We start from the raw sequence: 19,903 nt of genomic DNA, 5'->3' as shown, positions 1-19,903 counted from the left end.
CCAGTGTTCTCTCTGTTGAGGGCATCCTGAGAGGCCAGTGAGGGGGTTTGCTTACGGAAAGGAGAAGAGAGGGCTTGGGACAGGAGGGGATCGTGGGGTCTGCTGGGGAGTTTTGGAGAGAAGTAGTTTGAGATTCCAGGGGAGAGTCTGGGGAAAGAACCAAATTTGGTTCCTAGTCCACTAGGGCCTTCCAAACAAACACAACAAAATGTAAAGACTCTGGGTAGCTGGGAAAAGGACTTCCCCAGACAAGACTAAAAGAATAGAAGCTTCTAAATTGCAGATGGCTGGCAGTCCGCTCTTGGCCCTTTCAGGCCCCTCTGTCCCTGGGGGAGGGCCCAGGTGGGGCTGCCTGCTTCCTCAAGGGAGAGTGGAGTGGCAGCTAACAATGCCCCACACAAACCCAAGCCATGGCTTTCTGGGGGCCAGTTAGCTAAATGCCTTAGGCAGATGTGGAGCTGGCCAGACGCTGGCTGGGTGGGGCTAGGACCTGTCTGGAATGAGGGCAGGAAATGCAGTCTGCCATTGGCTAGCACCACAGAGTTCAGTTCCCTCATCTGGAGAGAGCAAACATCTTTGGAGCAATGAGTCCAGCCTCTCTGGGCTCTGGTGCCCAGTTCCTTGGACCTAGAAGGTGTGACACCTCCAAACGGTGTCTGAAAACACACACAGCTCCTGAGACAAGGCTGCAGGGCATAGCCGGGGGAGCCTCAGCACTCCTAGCTCTGCTATTGGTTCACTGTTCCTCCAGGCCTCCCTTCCCCTCTCAGGGTCTTAGTTTCCCTATTTGTAATACCACAAACCTGGTCATTGTGGCATCAATAAATAATACTTGGTGAGCAAATAGGGTACAGGGGAAGGGAGAGTGAAAGAGGGGAGCAAGGGGGGCATTTCTTTATTTAACATGTACCTGTTGAGTGCCTACTATGTGCTAGGCCCTGTGCTTAGGTGCCAGGTAGGCAACAAGACAGTCACTATCCCTGTCCTCGTGGAGCTGATATCTAGCAGGAAAGACACACTACAAGCAATTCCAAGTGCAGATGCTGCAAGAACACATGAGGGTGGGGGGAGTGGGCGGACAGGGCAAAGGAGATATTTGAGTTGAGACCTGAAGGATAAATAGGAGTCCAGAGGTAGGGAGAGGCAGACTAGCAGTTCGGGTCACGGGAACAACATGTGCCAAAGCCCTAGGCGGAAGAGAGCACTTTCGAGGAACAGACAAACGGCCATTGTGGCTGGATCGTGGGGCGGGGAAATGTTCCTGAGCTAGGCCTTCCTTGTCCCTGTGCTCAGGAGTTTCACCCCTGAAGGCAAAGGGAGCCCTTCACAAGGCTGAAGGGATTGCAGGGGACTGTGTTTTCCAAAAGCTGGCAGTGGTGTAGAGAATGCCTCGTAGAGGCCCGGAAGATGGGAGTGAAATCAGTTAGGGGGCTGGAGGGGGAATGAAGCATAGGGATTCTAGAGCAACTGACCATGGTGCATCTAAAGGACTTGGGGCCTGGCTGGACATGTGGGTTGAGGGAGAGGAATAAACCTAGGACTTGGGCTTGGGCAGCTGGGCGGATGGAGTTGTCCTTCCTGCGATGGGGAAGGCAGGAGGAGAAGCAGACCGGGGCTGGGGTAGGAGTGTCGTTCACGATGTGCTGAGGCTGAGGAGCCTGAAGACAGGACATCTAGGTGACAGCACCCAGTTGGCATCAGATATGCCTATCTGGGTCCCAGAGTAAGGGCAGGTGGGTGAGGGGCACAGGTATGTAGCTGAGACTAAGAGGGAAGAGCCCTCCTTGGCGCTTCCCCATGGCCCCTGCAGGGAAAGGGTTAAATCGCGGAGGGAAGGCGCCTGTGGAAAGCGGGAAAGGCGGGACTGGCAGGGCTGGCCTTTGGGAGCTGCAGCTGGCATAGAAGCCCTTCCGCCCGCCAGGGCCTGCTAGGCCTGGGCCGCCACCGCCCACACCACCGCCTTTGCCTTCGCCTTTGCCTTTGCCTTCCCTGCTCCCCCTCCAGCCCCTTCCCTGCTCCCCTAGGCTGGGGGACCCCCCTACCTAATGCATTCCAGGTGTAGACGCAGCCCCTCCCCCACCGCGCGGGTGTGGGAGGGGCAGGGAAGGCTGGGGTCACTTTCACCGCATCTCTTAGGGAGCATCTCCCAGGCTTGCTGACTGCTTCTCTCTCTCTGGAGAATTCCCTCAGGGATCTCTGTTTGGGCCTCCCTGACTCTGGCAGGGGCTGGCAGCAGAGAGAGCCCCCCAGACCCAGGTCCGCCACTTTCTAAAGTGTCACGTGACCTTGGGCAAGTCATCTCACCCCTCTGAGCCTCGGTTTTCTCATCTGGAAAATGGGGCTGTCATTCCCACCTTCTAGGGTTGTTGTAAGGATTCAATGCCACAGATCCATCCCCAGCCCTTGGCATGGCACATTGTCACCATGTTCAACAGATGGCCCTGGCCTGCCCTTTTTGTTCCTGCCCCTCTGCCTGGGTCTGTATCCCTCGCTGACTACCATGCCCTGTGTGGACCTTTCTGTCTCTGTCTCCCTTCTGACTTGTCCCTTCCTTTTGTCCATCTCCCTCTATGTCCATCTCTGGGTCTCTGTGGTTTTCCTGTCCTCTCCCTCCTTGTGTTTGTCCCAGTGTCTTTCTCTTATCATCTGTCTTTTCCCCTCATAATCCTTCTGTGTCTCCAACTCTCAGATTTGGCCAGGCCTCTGGTGAATGGGAAGGGAGATGGGTGGGTGTTGGGGTCCCTGGGGTTGAGGCAAGGGTCAGAGGGACCATCCCCCTAGCGGCTTTGCCTCACAGGAAGGGGAATCTCAGCCAGCGTGGCAGCCCCAGCATCTGGTAATTACTGCTCCCAGTGCTCCCAGCTGCAGTTCCACTCCCTTCCCTTCCTGTCCTCTGAAGTCCCCAGCTCCTCCCGGGGCGGGGGAGGGAGATGGGCGGGGGTGGAGCTACCGCCCCCTATCCTCTGGCCTCTAGTCCAGAGAAGCAGGGAGGAGGTGGCCAGGCCCTCACAGTAATCAAGGAACTGGAAGAGGGATGGGCTGCTTGTGCTCTCATGTGGCTGCTTGGTTTGTCTGTGTGTGTGTGTGTGTGTGTGTGTGTGTGTGCGCGCGTGTGCGCGCGCATGTGCCTGGCCTTCTTTGTCCCCGTGGATCTATTTTGTGTGTGTGTCTTAATGTTCTTGTTTCTGTATGGCCATCTGTATGTTTGCATATAGATCCATGTGTGTCTCTGGGTCTGTATGTGTTACGTGCTCCTCTGTGCCTGGTTGTATGTCACCTTGGCCCTAAGTATGTGGGAGTTTCTAGATGTTTCTGCGCATGGGTCTCCTTAGATCTTGTGGATGTGTCTGTCTGTTTCTATACCTGTGTCTGTTCCCGTGCCTGCGTCTGCCTCTGCATGCCCCCTATAGGTCTATGGTTGTGGTGTAGGGAAGGGGGTGTCTGCTTGCTTGTATCTTTTGGCCTTTCCTGATCCTTCTTCCTGCTGTGGAGCCTTCTTGCAAACCCATGACATTACGTACTTCAAATATATGCTTCACTCATACCTCCCCACCCAATATCCACACTTTTGCCCACTCTTCTTCCCTTGTCTGCAGAACCATTCTCAGTCCATCTATACCTAAAAAAAACACACCCCATCCTGGATGGTGCAACTAAAAACCACCTCCTTTAGGAAGTCTTCTCTCCTCCCCCCTCCAAATGTGATTTCTTTCCCAACTCAGCAGTCACTGAAGGTGTGCTCTGTGACTCTGGACACAGACACACCTGGGATCTGGTCCCAGCTCAACCACTTTTAGCTGTCCTCAGGCAAATTATTTTGCCTCTTTGTGCATCAGTTTCCTCATCTGTAAAATGGGTAATAGCTCACCGGATCATTAGGAGGATGCCATACGAGATAGCATCAACACAACACCTGGCCCAGAGTGGGTGTTCAGCAGTTGAATCCTCATATCTTATATCCTCTACTAAAAAGTGAACAGCTTGAGTTCCAGAGATTTCTGCATATTCTTACAATCTCCTGCTCTCTCTTCTTTAGGCATCCTGCACAGGGCAGAAGGTAAATCGGGTCACACAGAACAAAAGGCAGATTCCAATTCAGGGAACTTCTGACAAGTAATGCATGGGCCAGCTCCCTGAGCCTGCTCAGACACAGAGGAAACTGGGCCCTTCCAGGGAGTGGGAGATAGGACCTGCAAGGCTTCTACTCAAGGGCAAGAGCATGTGAGATAGGGCAAGGCATAAACAGCAGGAGTAGAATGAGCCTTCAGGATCATCTAACTCAGATAGTGCAACATGATGGCCCACAAGTTGAATTTGACTCACAAGTTTCATTTGGCTTGCCCACAGTTTTTAAAATTAAGGGACTTCACATGAAAAACCTGGATTTCCCGGCCGGGCACAGTGGCTCATGCCTGTAATCCCAGCATTTTGGGAGGCCGAGGCGGGTGAATCACCTGAGGTCAGGAGTTCAAGACCAGCCTGGCCAACGTGGTGAAACCTCGTTTCTACTAAAAATCCAAAAATTAGGCAGATGTAGTGGCGTGTGCCTGTAATCCCAGCTACTCGGGAGGCTGAGGCTGGAGAATCGCTTGAACTCGGGAGACAGAGGTAGCACTGAGCTGAGATTGCGCCACTGCACTCCAGCCTGGGCGACAGAGTAACACTCTGTCTAAAAAAAAAAAAAGAAGAAAAATCTGGATTTCTGGATTCCCTTGAAATATTGGAAGACCTGACAATACAGCGCCACATTACTGCAAGATGACACCTGGGTGGAGGGGAGAAGCTGCTGCTTCTACTTCAGGTTAGGCATGTGCTTTCCAGTTTAACCCAGTCCCCACCATTCCCCATGGCCTTAGACTGTCCCACTCTACAGAAAGTTCCTCACTTTATACTAGGGTCTGCACTTTACAGAAACATCCTTCTCTTTACAGAAGGGGCCTCACTTTACAAAAAGGAGTTCTCCTTTTTAACAGTCTTCTGTTTTGTCATGATCCTTAAGAGTCCTTTGGTTACAAACAGGCCATCCATTTTACAAAAGGGCCTTTAGAGAACTCTCCTCACTTTACAGCATGTCCCTCCACTTTGAAGAAGGCTCCTCTTTTTGGAAAAACTTCTTCCCTTTACAGAAGGGCCTTCTGTTTATCAAAGAGATCTCCATTTCACAGAAAGTGTCTCCGTTTTGAAGGATGGAACACTCTTCAGGAAACTCGAAAGAGTTAGGAAGCTCCTGACTTGCCAGAATGGCCCCCACTTCTTGAAAGTGTCTTCACACTATAGAAAGTGCCTCCATTTTTCTGCAGAGTCCTTATGTTGAGAAGAATAGTCGACTTCAGGGAAGGAACCCCTGAGCTACCCACAGGGTTCCTGTAAACAGCTCCTTCTGCACATTTCACACTTGACCGAGCTTTGTGTTTGAACTTTGAGAGACAACATCTGCCAGGTCAGGCAGCCTGGGTGCAGTCTGGCCTTGAAGGCGGAGTGGGGCAGCTGGCCTGCAGTTCACATTCAAGGGGCAGGTGGGAAGAGGTGGGGCAGTTATGGCTTTTTTTTTTTTTTTTTTTGTCAAGCGGAGGGATGCCCCTTCCCCTGACAGAACTGGCTTCCCAAAAGGCACTTTCCTTTCTGCTGTTCTTCTCCACTCCCTCTGCTCCCTTTCCCCACCCCACCCCCAGGAATTCCAGCTGTCCCAGGAGCCTACCTCTCTGCCCGGAAAGGAAAAGATTTGAGGGCTGTAGGGAGAAGTTTGCCTGGGCTGTCAGGAGACCTGCGTGCTAGGGGCTGGCTTCTGCTCACCCTAGGATCTCGCTGATTGCTCACAACAAGCAGAACACACGTTTTCTCCCCATTTTAGCATCTCTGCAGAGCTATCCTTCATAGCTGTGGGCCCCAAATGGGGAAATTGGGGCCCAGAGCTTTGAAGCCACTTGCCCCAGGACACCAGGGAGTTAATGGCCAAGGGCCAGTCTGGGGCCCTAGTAGCTGTCTTGAGATTAAGCCAAGGCTACAGCTGGGAGAAGTGAGAGGGGCTGCTACTAGCTGGGAGGGGGAAAACTTGGCAGCTGAGATTCCCAGGAAGGGTTGAGGGAGATGCAGGGTCCAGTTCCAGTGGGAATGGGCAAAAGGAGCCCTTGTCCTCAGACACAGCTAGATGCTGGACTTTCTCTGCCAGTAAACCCAGAAGCATGTGCTCAGGGCACCTGCCACGCAGGGGCATGCAGCAACCAGAAACAATTTTTGCAAGGATTTTCCTATTTCAATAATAATAAATTGTCATGGGAAAATTCAAACCTCAGCTACACTTCTTGACACTTATTTTACAGTTTTTTTCTGGTTTGTATTTTGAATTGAATTTGAATGGGGAGGACAGGGCACCATTGTCTTCACTGCCCTACCACCTCGCATAGGAATCCTGCCCTGATCTGCAGAGCTATCCTGGTGAGTGGGGCTAGGTTCTGTGTCTCTCACTGGCTGAGTTTGCTTGTGTTTCTCAGTGTATATACAGTTTTACGTTGGGTTGCAGCCTACAGCCCGTGGGCTTATGTATTTATGTGTGTAGTTTTGTGGCTTTGTGGATGTGTGATTCTGTTGGTTTTCAAATTTAACCCATATCACTCTGTGTGTGTGGTGGGGTGGGGGTGGGTCACTGTGCTCTTTCCCTTCCTTGTCCCATAGGCTCCCCCAAACCAAGGAACTGCTATTATTGTCCTTCTTTCCAGATAAAGAAACTGAGGCTCAGGTAGATGGGGAGACTTGCCCAGGGCCACACAGCTAGTAAAAGGTAGTGTTGTGATCTAAACTGAGGTCTGTGCAAGTCCTAAGCCAGCTGTTCCTAATACAGGTGCTGCAGCAGTTCAATCCGTGCAGTTCAGTCAGTGATCATGATGACACCACCCTTGTTGGGAATAGTCAAGTATCATAGTTTTATAAATTAGTGACTTAAGAAAAAAAAAAAGACCAGATTCAAGGCCATCCCTGAAATAATGGCACTGTCGTGAGCATTCAGATGCCCATGGCAGAAAAAATTGGGTAGAGTCCCTAGCCTGCTTGAGGCTTAAGTGGACAAGAGTCTGGGGGAACTCTGGCTACCAGGTGCTGTCTTGAAGGCCCGGCTCTGCCACATTCATTTGGAAGCTTTCCCTGACTAGCGTTGCCAGAATTAGCCTTCAGAAAGTATTTAATACAATTAGATTTGAATTTCAGATATACAATAAGTCATTTTGTTTTTAGACGGGGTATCACTCTGTCGCCCAGGCTGGGGTGCAGTGGCATGATTTCGGCCCACTGCAGCCTCCGCCTCCCGGGTTCAAGCCATTCTCCTGCCTCAGCCTCCCGAGTAGCTGAGATTACAGGCGCCTGCCACCATGCCCAGCTAATTTTTGTATTTTTAGTAGAGACGGTGTTTCGCCATGTTGGTCAGGCTGGTCTCGAACTCCTGACCTCATGATCTACCCACCTCGGCCTCCTAAAGTGCTGGGATTACAGGCATGAGCCACTGCGCCTGGCCCAACAAGTCATTTTTTAAGTATAGCTTAAGAAATTGTTAGTATAAGTATTCATGAGACATATTATACTAAAACATTCCTTGTTTATCTAAAATTCAAATTTAACTGAGTGGCCGGGCATGGTGGCTTACGCCTGTAATCACAGCACCTTGGGAGGCTGAGGCAGGTGGATCACCTGAGGTCGGGAGATCGAGACCAGCCTGGCTAACATGGTGAAACCCCATCTCTACAAAAATACAAAAATTAGCTGGGCTTGGTGGCAGGCACCTGTAATCTCAGCTATTCGGGAAGCTGAGGCAGGAGAATTGCTTGAACCCAGGAGTCGGAGGTTGCAGTGAGCTGAGATCGCACCATTGTACTCCAGCCTAGGTAACAAGAGCGAAAGTCCATCTCAAAAAAAAAAAAATTAACTGAGTGTCCTGTATTTTATCTGGCCACCCTATCCATTCTCCTCCACTGAGCTTCCCCAGTCCCCACAGGCTCGCCCTCGTTGCCTTTCCTGAGTTAGAGTCTTTGTCTTTGAGATTGGGAGCTCCCTGAGGGTAAGGGTCAAGATTGCCCTTCTGGCCTGCTGAATGCCTGGGGGGGCAGGGGTTTGAGAGTGGGGCAGGAAGGGTGCATACCCCACCCCCATCCCCACAGCAGAGCTGGCACAGTGCACTGGCACTCCTGGGGTGCCTAGAGTATGCTTTCCTAGGTGACAAGAGATGTCCGAGTGGCAGTGGTGGTTGTGTGTGTGCAGTTGTGCCGAGCACGGTGCACACAGACATGAGTAGCTCTGTGGTTCTCTCTCTGGGTCTTTGAGGGATGTGCACAGTTGGTGTGTGGCTGGGTACATTTCCACAAAGTGTTATCAGATTTGGTGGTGGCTGGGTGTGGTGGTACACACCTGTAGTCCCAGCTACTTGGGAGGCTGAGACAGGAGGATTGCTTGAGCCCAGGAATTCGACACCAGCCTGGGCAAAATAGTAAGGCCTCACCTCAAAAATAAAAAATAAGAAAGATTTGGTGGTGTGACCAAATGTGTGTGACGGGGGCTTTTTGGTGATCTCTGCTCTACTGGGCATTGGGGAATTATAAATCCGTTGATGGAAGGGGCAGTGCTGGTGGAGGATCTTGTCAGGTGTGGAGGTGTGGGTGTGGGTGTGATAATGTTGTGGATTATCAACCACAAGAAAAATGGGCTGGAATTGGGCACACTGGCTCATGCCTGTAATCTCAGCACTTTTGGAGGCAGAGGCAGGAGGATCTCTTGAAGCCAGGAGTTTGACACCAGCCTGGGCAACAAAGAAGGACCCCATCTCTACAAAAAAAATTAAAAATAGCCAGCCATGGTAGTGAGTACCTGTAGTCCCAGCTACTTGGGAGGCTGAGATGGGAGGATCACTTGAGCCCAGGAATTTGAGGTTACAGTGACCTGATCACACTACTGTACTTAACCCTAAGCAACAGAGCAATACCCTGTCTTAAAAAAAAAAAAAAGGGCTGGAGAAAATGAATCCAGGACCTTGCTGGGTAGGGACGGGATGGGGCAGTGGGAATGGCTGTGGTTTCTAGGAAGGAGGAGGGGGGCCTACCCTGGGAGCTCCCCAAGGGCAGGGATGGGATTTTCTCATCTCCAAGCACAGGGTCTACTAGGTTCAAAAATATTCTGGAGACCAAACTCAGCCAAGGAAAGCCATAGAGTTCAGCATGGTCATGAGGGGCCACTGAGAGCTAGCTGAGAAGTTTCTTTTTTTGGTGTTTTTGTTTGTTTGTTTGTTTGTTTGTTTTTGAGACAGAGTTTCGCTCTTGTTGCCCAGGCTGGAGTGCAATGGTGCGATCTCAGCTTACCACAACCTCCGTCTCCTGGGTTCAAGCGATTCTCCTGCCTCAGCCTCCCGGTAGCTGGTATTACAGGCATGCGCCACCACGCCCAGCTAATTTTGTATTTTTAGTAGAGATCGGGTTTCTCCATGTTGGTCAGGCTGGTCTCGAACTCCCAACCTCAGGTGATCCACCCACCTCAGCCTCCCAAAGTATTGGAATAAAGGCGTGAGCCACCGCGCCCGGCCTAGCTGAGAAGTTTCTATTTTCCCATGGACAGTAGGGAGTTACAGAAGGTTCTTGTGCAGGTAAGTGGCATGATCTGAGCTGGACTGTACGTAAGTTCATTCAGCCACCTGGAGGGAGCAAGACTTGGAGCCAAGGAGGCCACTGAGGGAAAATAGGAGACAGGGAAATGTAGGCAGAGAGACAAGGGAGAGGGAGTTCTGAAACGAGAGGGAGGGATCTTGAACCTTCTCCCGCTCAGTGAAACCTAGCCTGGTTCTTGGCCAGGCCTAGGCTCCTAAACTGGACCCCTGTTCAACTCCCTGTGGACAGGGTTGAGGGGTGTCCCTCTGACTAGCTACACTGCAGTTTGTGACTTTCGGAAGCCGTTGGGTCCACCCGCCCCTCCTGGTTCCCCTCTTTTCCAGCTTGCCCTTGGAGAGCAGGGTTAATAAGAAAGGAATCCAGTCCATGACCAGTCTGCCCAAAAGTGTGCCATTCATTGATTTGCTCTGTGACCTTGGGCAAGTCACTGCCTCTCTCTCTGACTCCATCTCCTCACTAGAAACTGGGCTGACAATCTCTTTTCCTCTCACCTGGGACTCCAGGGAATCTTTGCATTTCATTCAGCCTCCTCTTCCTGCAGGGCTGCCTGCAAGGAGGCAGAGAGAATGGAGAGGCAGGTCTGTCTGTGGGCTGTCAGGTGAGATGGGTGAGGAGGGAGCAATGGGTGGGCTAGGGCAGGGCCATGGAAAGTGGGATGTATGGTCACTCCATCCCGAGGACCAGCACTGGAGGAGAAGGAGAGCAGCATTATCCAGGGACCCTGCTGCTTTGCTACAGATAGGGTAGGGAGGGCTTGCCCAGAGAGGCCTGCCTGCTTTGAGGTGTGGAGATAGGTGGGCTCCTCCAGGCCCAAGGAGGCAGACAAGGGGCACCAGGGACCCTGGCACCTATGTGTGTATATCTGAGGAGGGGTCTCTGCATGGCAGGGTGCCTGGCTTTACTCACTGCCTCTCTGGCCCTGTCAGCTCCTCTCTGTCTCTCTCCCTTGCTCTGGCCATGTGTCTCTCCAACCACATCTCCGCCTGTGCCACCCTCCAGGTGATTCATCTTCCTCACCCCCACGCCCAGGGGGAGGGCAGGGCAAGACCAGGCCAGGATGTGCTGAGCAGGGCAGGGTAAGCGGCACAGCTGAGTGGAGAGGAGCGCCTCCTCCATCCTGGCCAGGCCCTGCCAGCTTAGGTGGGGAAGGAAGTGAGGAACGACACCCAAAGCAAGGTACAGAGTTGGGGAGGGGCGCTCGGCCTGGGGCCTGGGGCACCCTGTTCCCTCAGTGCTGGGAAAGGACCCTGATCTGAGTCCCCTGGGGTGGACCTGGCTGGGATGTAGCCAGGGGTGAGGTCAGGGGCCTAGGGAAGCTGCTGGAACCCTGTGGGTTGGGCTATTTCTTCCCTCCGGGACTGGGAGACCTAAAATCCCCTGTGACTCTTTCTGCCTGTGTGACCCTGGAAGGGAGGCTGCAGAGGTCTTTGTGTGTGTATGTTTTCACAGCAGAGTTTGTATGTGACTATTTAGGAGGAGGCAAGTGTCCCACAGTGTGTGTATTCCTGGGCCTATGGCTAAGACCCAGGGACACCGTGGATGTGTTTGTTAGATGAGTATGACATAGTAAATGACAGTTGTCCCTTGGTCTCCATGGGGAATTGGTTCCAGGACAGCCTGAAGATACCAAAGTCGCCAACACTCAAGTCCCTTATATAAAATGGCATGTTGTTTGCATATAAACTATGTGTATCTTCCTGTATATATATATATATTTTTTTTTTGAGATGGAGTCTCTGTCGCCCAGGCTGGAGTGCAGTGGCATGATCTTGGCTCACCGCAACCTCCACCTCCCTGGTTCTAGCGATTCTCCTGCCTCAGCCTCCCGAGTAGCTGGGATTACAGGCATCCACCACCACACCCAGCTAATTTTTGTATTTTTGTAGAGACAGAGTTTTGCCATGTTGGTCAGGCTGGTCTCGAACTACTGACCTCAAGTGAACCGCCCGCCTTGGCCTCCCAAAGTGCTGGGATCACAGGCGTCAGCCACCGCACCTGACCCTTCCTGTATACTTTAAATCATCGCCAGATTACTTATAATACCTAATACAATGTAAATGCTATGTAAATAGTTGTTATACTGTACTGGGTTTTATTTATATAATTTTTATTGTTGTATTGTTATTTTTTGTCTTTTTTTCCAAACATTTCGATCAATCAGCCTCCATGCAGAGGCCGAGGATGCAAAACCCATGAATGTGGAGGGCCACCTGTATGCCACATGTCTGTGATTGTGAGTTCGTGTTTCTGAGTGTGTGGTATCATGTGACTTTATGCTGTTTTGCCACTGTATGTGATTGTGTCTGACATGGTATAATTGACTCTGTGCCTATAGTCTTTGTGTGTAACCATGTTTGCAGGTGTGACATGGTGTGTATGACACTCCATGGCCCTGCAATTGTGAGACATAGTGTAAATGACAATGTATATCTTTTGTGACTCAGTGAAACCATGTTTGAAGAATGTCTAACTGGGTATATGATTGTCTGTGGTTGGGCGGTTGTATGAAGCTGTGTGTGAGATGGCAGAATTGCCATTGTGTGACTCTGTGTCTTTGTGACTGCATGACCATGTTTGCAGGTGTGTGTGATACTGCGAGGCTGTGTGATCGTGTGTGAGGTTGTGGCCGCAGGTCTTTGTGACTGTGTGTAACTAGGCTTTCAGGAGGGCGATTACCTGCAGTTGGGTGAAATGGTGTAAATAACACCAAGTGTTTCTATGACTGAGTGGGCCCATTTGTGACTAGTCATTTATGAGACTGTGTGTGATATAAGCTAACAGACCCTTTGTGGCTGTGAGTGGGAGGCCATGTGGTTGTGGCACAGCATAACTTACACCATGTGATGGTGGTACCTCCGGGAGCTCTTGACTACTGCTCACTCTCTTGTCCTCACACCTGTTTGCCTCCATCTCTCCCTATGCAAGGGGTTTTTGTGGCTCCCTTCTGCTACAGGATGAATGTCAGCCTAGCATCCAAGGCCTTTCCCACTCCTCTCTGGCCCCACCTGACTTCTCTATCATTTGAGGCACTCCCACAGCCCCCTGCCCAGCCAGGACCACATGAGCCCCACATTCCTTTCCTTGGGGCATGCCATCCCTGGGGTGGGGGTCCCTCACTGCCTCCCAGACCAAATCCTCTCTCCTAAGCATGACCATCATCTCCTCTAGAGCCAAAGATAGAGGTGGCTTTAGGGGACATACAGTGAGGGAAGAGGGACAGTATAAAAAGGCCTCCCCTTTTTCTGAACTGGCTGCTTGATTTAAAGTTATTCCTGTGACCTGAACTCTGGATGTTGCACGTGTGTGTGTGGCAGAGGTGGAAGATGCATGTGGGTCTGTGTAGATGTGGAAGTTGAGGAAGGTAGTACAGATTGCTGAGAAGTTGGGATTTTCTTTTTCATTTTTCTTCTTTTTTTTTTTTTTCTTGAGACAGCGTCTTGCTCTTTTGTCCAGGCTGGAGTGCAGTGGGGTGATCTCAGCTCCCTGCAACCTCCACCTCCCAGGCTCAAGTGATCCTCCCACCTCAGCCTCCCAAGTATCTGGGAATACAGGTGCACACCACACTGCCCAGCTAACTTTTATATTTTTTGTAGAGACAGGGTCTCACTTTGTTGCCCAAACTCATCTCAAATTCCTGAGCTCAAGCAATCCTCCCTTCTCAGCTTCCCAAAATGCTGGGATTACAGGCATGAGCCACTGTGCCCAGCCAGAAGTTGGGATTTCAAGAAGCAAAACTTGCTCATGAAACACAATTTCATCATTTTTAAGCACACTTAGCTGCACAAAATTGTAAACAAGAAAGTCTAGATATTCTCAGGGCCTTAACAAAAGCGTTGAAGAATGGTTTATACTCAGCATACCTATGTGGCTGTAGAAACAAGGGCTGCAAACGCATGTATAAACTTTAGGGTGCTCACAGCCACCCCCAGCCTGGTTAAACTCCCTAGTGATACTGCCTGCTGACATACATGGAATCAATGCACTAGTCACAAAGAATTCTTATCTATTGATGAAAACAGCCAGCCCCAGCCCTGGGTCTGGCTCTCCATCTGAGGGCTAGGATAGGGGCTTCCCAGAAAAACACTGTGGCCAGGAAAGGGGCTCAGAGAAACCCAATACCCCAGATAGCTGCTAAGACATGCCAGTCCTAACTTTAACCCCAGTCCCCTTTGGGTTAAAGTCAGTTACTTCACACCCATTTTCTCCCTTCCTGCAGGGCTGCACCAGGGAAACCGGATCCTGGTTAAAAGTTTGTCCCTTGACCCTGGCCAAAGCCTAGAGCCTCATCCAGAAGGTCCCCAGCGGCTTCGCTCAGACCCAGGTCCCCCGACTGAAACCCCTAGCCAGCGTCCTTCACCACTGAAGCGGGCACCGGGCCCGAAGCCACAGGGTAAGTGGTCCTGGAAAAGAGCAGAGAAGTGGCCCAGGGGAGGGTACAGAGGAGGGGAGAAGTTAGCCAGTGGCAGAGAAGAGGGTTTGTTAGAAGGATAGGGAGCCACCATGCTCCCAGGGCAGTGCTACCTACCTAGTGCACAGAGTGCTGTGGCCTGAGGCTAATGTGTGCATACTGTGATCTCACCTTAGCCCCTTTGTGTCTACCTCAGGCAAAGGTGCAGATTGGTGTTTGTGGAAGGGGTTGTGGCCTGGCCATGACAGCCAGCCACCTCCAAATCCAGCTTTTTTTTTTTTTTTTTTTGAGACAGAATCTCACTCTGTCACCAGGCTGGAGTGCAGTGACATGATCTTGGCTCACTGCAACCTCCGCCTCCTGAGTTCAAGCAATTATCCTGCCTCAGCCTCCCAAGTAGCTGGGACTACAGGCACGTGCCACCATGCCCAGCTAATTTTTGTATTTTTAGTAGAGATGGGGTTTCACCATGTTAGCCAGGCTCAAATCCAGCTCACTGATGTCTCCCTTCTCTCTTCCCCATTCGTCTCTCCAGTGCCCCCAAAGCCCAGCTACCTGCAGATGCCCCGGATGCCCCCCCCACTGGAGCCCATCCCCCCTCCACCATCACGCCCACTGCCTGCCGACCCCCGAGTGGCCAAGGGCCTGGCTCCCAGGGCAGAGGCCAGCCCCAGTTCTGCAGCAGTATCCTCACTGATTGAGAAGTTTGAAAGGTGAGTCTGGTCCCTAGGGCACCCTCTAGGGGAAAGGGGGAGCCTGGGACAGGAAGGGATAGTCAGGAGAGGCCTCTCAGTCAAGCTCATACCCTGCTTCCATGTGTGTCCACCACCCACCTCAGAGAGCCTGTGATTGTCGCCTCGGATAGACCAGTCCCTGGCCCCAGCCCAGGTCCCCCAGAGCCAGTCATGTTGCCACAGCCAACCTCGCAGCCACCAGTGCCCCAGCTCCCCGAGGGTGAGGCCTCCCGCTGCCTGTTTCTGCTGGCTCCTGGGCCCCGGGACGGTGAGAAGGTGCCCAACCGGGACAGCGGCATTGATAGCATCAGCTCGCCATCCAACAGCGAGGAGACCTGCTTCGTCAGTGATGACGGGCCCCCCAGCCACAGCCTCTGCCCTGGGCCCCCTGCCCTGGCTAGTGTGCCTGTTGCCTTGGCCGACCCCCACCGGCCTGGCTCCCAAGAGGTTGACAGTGACCTGGAGGAGGAGGACGACGAGGAGGAGGAGGAAGAGAAGGACAGAGAAATCCCAGTGCCCCTGATGGAGAGACAGGAGTCTGTGGAGGTACTGACCTGTGTTCACCGAGAGGCAGGTCCATGTGGAGAACCTGGAAGCGCCTTTTGTGCTTGATTCTTCCCCTAGCTCAGTATTTCTCGAAATAGGACCTTGTTTCCAAGCTCTGTGACACTGGGCAAGTCTTTTCCCTTTCTGCTTCCCTACCATAAGCCTCAGTTTCCTTATTTGTAATACGGAAAGTCTCTTACTTACATCCATAGAGACTTCTCAACAGCTGGAGGAGGGGCGCAAGAGCTAGAGCCCTGCAGGGGCCCGAGGCTGTGCAGATGAAGGCTCTTGGCAGCAGAGACCCCTTTCTGTGCCCGGGCAGCCTAACATTTCTTCAGAAGGCACCATCGCACTTGAGTTAGATCTCAGCCGGAATACTTGCTCTGCTAGGACCAAGCTCAAGTGTAGGGGCCAAAGCCAGGGACTGCCGGCATGGCAGGTAGTCAACACATATATCTAAGGAATAGGAAACTAGGCCAACAGGCAATGAGTTTTATACGTTCTTATACTTTTGTGCTTTTCTCACACCCCAGGTACTCAGCAAGCCCTTGCTGATAGTGTACTGAGTGGGTGAATAAATGATTAATTAACATTTATATACCATTTAATCTGTAGTCTGATGTGTTTTATTTATATTAAATTATCTAATTGTCTCCATTACCAATGGACTTCAGTCCTATTATTATTTTGTTTTGGTTTTGTTTTTGTTTCTCACCAGCCTCTACATTAAATAGATTCTATTATTATCTGTATTTATGGATGAGGCGTCCTAAATACAGAGCTGTTAAAGAACTTACACAAGCTAGTGAATGGCAGAGCTTAGGATTTGAACCCAGGAAGTCTGACTTACCATCCCACATGCTTAACCACTACACTCTGCTGAGTGAATAGAGAGAGCGGGTGAATGAGTTGTTGAGTGAGGGAGTGCACGTCATCAGAATGGAGGGGTAGGCTTTATGGTAGACTGGGGACTCAGGGATGAAGCTGAAGGACTTACAGATCTAGAGATGGGGGTCAAGGTTATCCTAGGGTGGTATTAGGCTTAGAGTGGCATGGGAACTGTTTTAAGAATTCTGGGGGCTTGGGTGAGGGTTACGATAGAGGATGATGGATCAGGGGTTACTGTTTCTCCTTTCCAGTTGACTGTGCAGCAAAAGGTGTTTCACATTGCCAATGAGCTCCTGCAAACTGAGAAGGCCTACGTTTCCAGGCTCCATCTCCTGGATCAGGTGAGTGGCCCCTTGGGGGTACGAGGGCCCCAGGACCTTGTAGGTGCGTTTCAAGGAGGCAGTGATAGGGCCTGAGTTCAATCCCACCATTGTGGCCAGAATTTAGAGGCAGTAAGGCTCCTCTCTGACCTTGAAGTCAGCTTGTCCCTGAAGCCATCTCTGATTATGCCCCAAGCTTGATCAGTGAGGGCTGATACCAACCCTCACTCCTAACGCTGGGCAGGTACACCAGCCCTGACTGCGACTCTGACACTAGTACTGACTTGGACCCAGATCCTGAATTTATCCCTAGCTGTGAACTTCATTCTAACCCTGGCCCTATTCCAGATCCCAAATCCACTAGAATCCCTGAGAGTAGAGATTTTTATCTTTGTTCACTGCTCTATCTTACCCTCTATGACAGTGCCTCGCACACAGCAGACATTCAAAAATATTCATTAAATGAACAGATCTAATTCCAACTTTCTCTCTGACCCTGAATCTAATTCTAAGCCTGACCTTGATCCTGACTTCTAATTGTTCCAAAGCCTAACTCTTGGCAGCAGGGACCCCTTTCTGTGCCCAAGCAGCCTAACATTTCTTCAGAAGGCACCCTCGCACTTGAGTTAGATCTCAGCCAGAATACTTGCTCTGCCGGGACCAAGCTCAAGTGTGGGGGCCAAAGCCAGGGACTGCTGGAATAACCTGAAATCCATCTCCCCAATATATAACCCTAACCCCATTCCCTGTCTCCTCAGTCTCAAGACCAATGCTGATCCCAAAGCTCCACAAGCCTCCCCACAAATACTGCCCTCACCCTTCACCAGCCAAGCCCCAGGCCCAGCTGGGCTGAGTGCTTCTGCCCTGCCCCACAGGTGTTCTGTGCCCGGCTGCTGGAAGAAGCTCGGAACCGCAGTTCCTTCCCGGCCGACGTTGTCCACGGCATCTTCTCTAACATCTGCTCCATCTATTGCTTCCACCAGCAGTTCCTGCTGCCTGAGCTAGAGAAGCGCATGGAGGAATGGTGAGGGGCCCTAGACCTAGACTGCCCACTCCCCTGTCCACCTGCCTGCCGAGCCCAGACCCAGAGGTGTACACAAGACTTCATTTCTGCTTGCTCTTCCTCTTAGTGACTTTTGAAAAAGGAATCAGAGCCGGGCACGGTGGCTCACACCTGTAATCCCAGCACTTTGGGAAGCTGAGGCAGGTGAATCACCTGAGGTCAGGAGTTCGAGAACAGCCTGGCCAACATGGCGAAACCCTGCCTCTACTAAAAACATTAAAAATTATCCTGGCGTGATGGCACGCGCCTGTAGTCCCAGCTACTCGGGAGGCTGAGGCACAAGAATCGCTTGAACCCAGGAGGCGGAGGTGTGGTGACCCGAAATTGCACCATTGCACTCCAGCCCAGGTGATAGAGCTAGACTCTGTCTTAAAAAAAAAAAAAAAGAAAAAGAAAAAAGAATCAGGCCCAAGCTCTGCCTTCGAGGACCTCCCAGTCTGATGTGGAACACAGACCAGAACTCAGAAAATTGCAACAGAATAGCATAGCCTACAGGAGTATGAGGTTAGGAGCCAAATTGGCTGAGTTCAAATTCCAGCTGTGCCACTTGCTAGCTTTGAGCAAGTTTCTTAAGTTGCTATGCCTCAGTTTCCTCATCTATAAAATGGGGGGAAATAATAACGGCCTACCTTGTAGGGTTGTTTTAAGGATTAAATAACTTAATACATAAAAGAGCTTAGAACAGTACCAGGTATAGGCCAGGCATGGTGGCTCACACCTGTAATCCCAGCACTCTGGGAGGCCGAGGCAGGCGGATCACCAGGTCAGGAGAGCGAGACCATCCTGGCTAACACGGTAAAATCCCGTCTCTACTAAAAATACAAAAAATTAGCCGGGCATGGTGGCGGGCGCCTGTAGTCCCAGCTACTCGGGAGGCTGAAGCAGGAGAATGGTGTGAACCTGGGAGGTGGAGCTTGCAGTGAGCCGAGATCGTACCACTGCACTCCAGCCTGGGCAACAGAGCAAGACTCTCTCAAAAAAAAAAAAAACAAACAAACAAAACAGTACCAGATATATACAGTAAGTGCTCAATGGATGTAAGCTTTTGTTATTTTTACAGTGCTATGATAGAGCAGAGAATGGGAGGCTGTGGGAATCCAGACAAATGGACCAAGCCTAGCTTGGAGATTACAGAAGGATTCAGGGAGAAGGTGATGCCTAAGCTGAGTCCTGAGGTAGAAGGGCAAGGTTTACAGGCAGCCTCTCAGGCCTTCTTCCAATCCAGCCTTTAGAGTCCACACCATTTGCCAGAACGGTCTCTCTAAACAAGTCAGACCATGTCTCTCCCTGCTTAAAATCATGTCCACATTCCCCATACCTACAGATTCTCCACACCTACAGAGTCAAGTGTGTCCCCCTCACCAGACTGTGACCACAGAAAGCCAGCATGAAGCCTGGTTCCTATATCTCCCCACGAGTCTGTGAACCCTGAGGGCTGGGACCAGGTCTGGTTTGCTTTGCTCCTGCACCAGACTGACCAATGAGGAGTACAACCAGGCCTGGTCTCTTTGTCTCACCTACCAGATGGTGACCCTCTCAGGGCTCAAATGGGTGTGACTCATTTCTGTGTCCCCAGCATCACCCAGCACACAGTTGATAATCAGTATATGAAGTGGTCCTGGCAGTAAGGTCTCAGGGTGAGTACTTCAACCAGTACTCGGGCAGGGCAGAATTGAGGCAGGTGGCATCCCAGGCTGTGGTCTGAAGTCAAGCCGAGCCTCTTGGCCTCACTGGCCTGTAATGTAAGCAGCATTTCTGAAGGAGCAGACTAGCTGAGAAGTAGGTTTCTAGGACTGAGATGAAAGGTATCTGCCTGGGGCTGGAAACTTGTGGGGGAAGTTTCTGAGGGGCAAAGAGCAGCAGGACCACATCAGCCCCTAATTCCACCCCAGGGACCGCTATCCACGCATTGGAGACATCCTGCAGAAACTGGCCCCCTTCCTCAAGATGTATGGTGAGTATGTGAAGAACTTTGACCGGGCCGTGGAGCTGGTCAACACCTGGACAGAGCGCTCCACCCAGTTTAAAGTCATCATCCATGAGGTGCAGGTAAGTGGTCAAGCTGGAAGGAGCAGACTTGGGGAGGAGAGGTCTGCAGGGATGTGGTGGGGCATCTGCAGCCAGATCTGAGCCCCTCTGCTTCTGCCTGTCACAGAAGGAGGAAGCCTGTGGCAACCTGACATTGCAGCACCACATGCTGGAGCCTGTGCAGCGCATCCCCCGCTATGAGCTTCTTCTCAAGGACTATCTGTTAAAGCTGCCCCATGGCTCCCCGGACAGCAAGGATGCCCAAAGTGAGTGTGTGC

At 51.5% G+C, this 19,903-nt stretch overlaps 1 protein-coding gene across 1 annotated transcript in view, besides 1 other annotated feature; it reads left to right on the top strand.

Annotated features, from left to right (window-relative positions):
• Positions 1-19,903, top strand: part of FGD1 (FYVE, RhoGEF and PH domain containing 1) — a 50,781-nt gene that overhangs the window by 10,893 nt on the left and 19,985 nt on the right. The window contains exons 2-8 of the mRNA NM_004463.3: positions 13,855-14,028; positions 14,582-14,759; positions 14,885-15,326; positions 16,466-16,555; positions 17,410-17,558; positions 19,490-19,646; positions 19,753-19,891. Of these exons, the coding sequence (NP_004454.2) occupies positions 13,855-14,028; positions 14,582-14,759; positions 14,885-15,326; positions 16,466-16,555; positions 17,410-17,558; positions 19,490-19,646; positions 19,753-19,891 (1,329 nt within the window). The remainder of the gene's footprint in view (positions 1-13,854; positions 14,029-14,581; positions 14,760-14,884; positions 15,327-16,465; positions 16,556-17,409; positions 17,559-19,489; positions 19,647-19,752; positions 19,892-19,903) is intronic.
• Positions 5,419-5,972: an enhancer, noted in NCBI's record as "H3K27ac hESC enhancer chrX:54505803-54506356 (GRCh37/hg19 assembly coordinates)". NCBI's record gives its function as "activates a minimal SCP1, AML or CMV promoter by ChIP-STARR-seq in naive H9 embryonic stem cells {active_cell/tissue: H9 hESC(naive)}" and the evidence as "EXISTENCE:reporter gene assay evidence [ECO:0000049][PMID:30033119]".

The sequence above is a fragment of the Homo sapiens genome, chromosome X, assembly GCF_000001405.40.
Source record: "Homo sapiens chromosome X, GRCh38.p14 Primary Assembly".
NCBI classification, from domain to species: Eukaryota; Metazoa; Chordata; class Mammalia; order Primates; family Hominidae; genus Homo; species Homo sapiens.
This window is presented reverse-complemented; position numbering and strand designations above follow the sequence as displayed.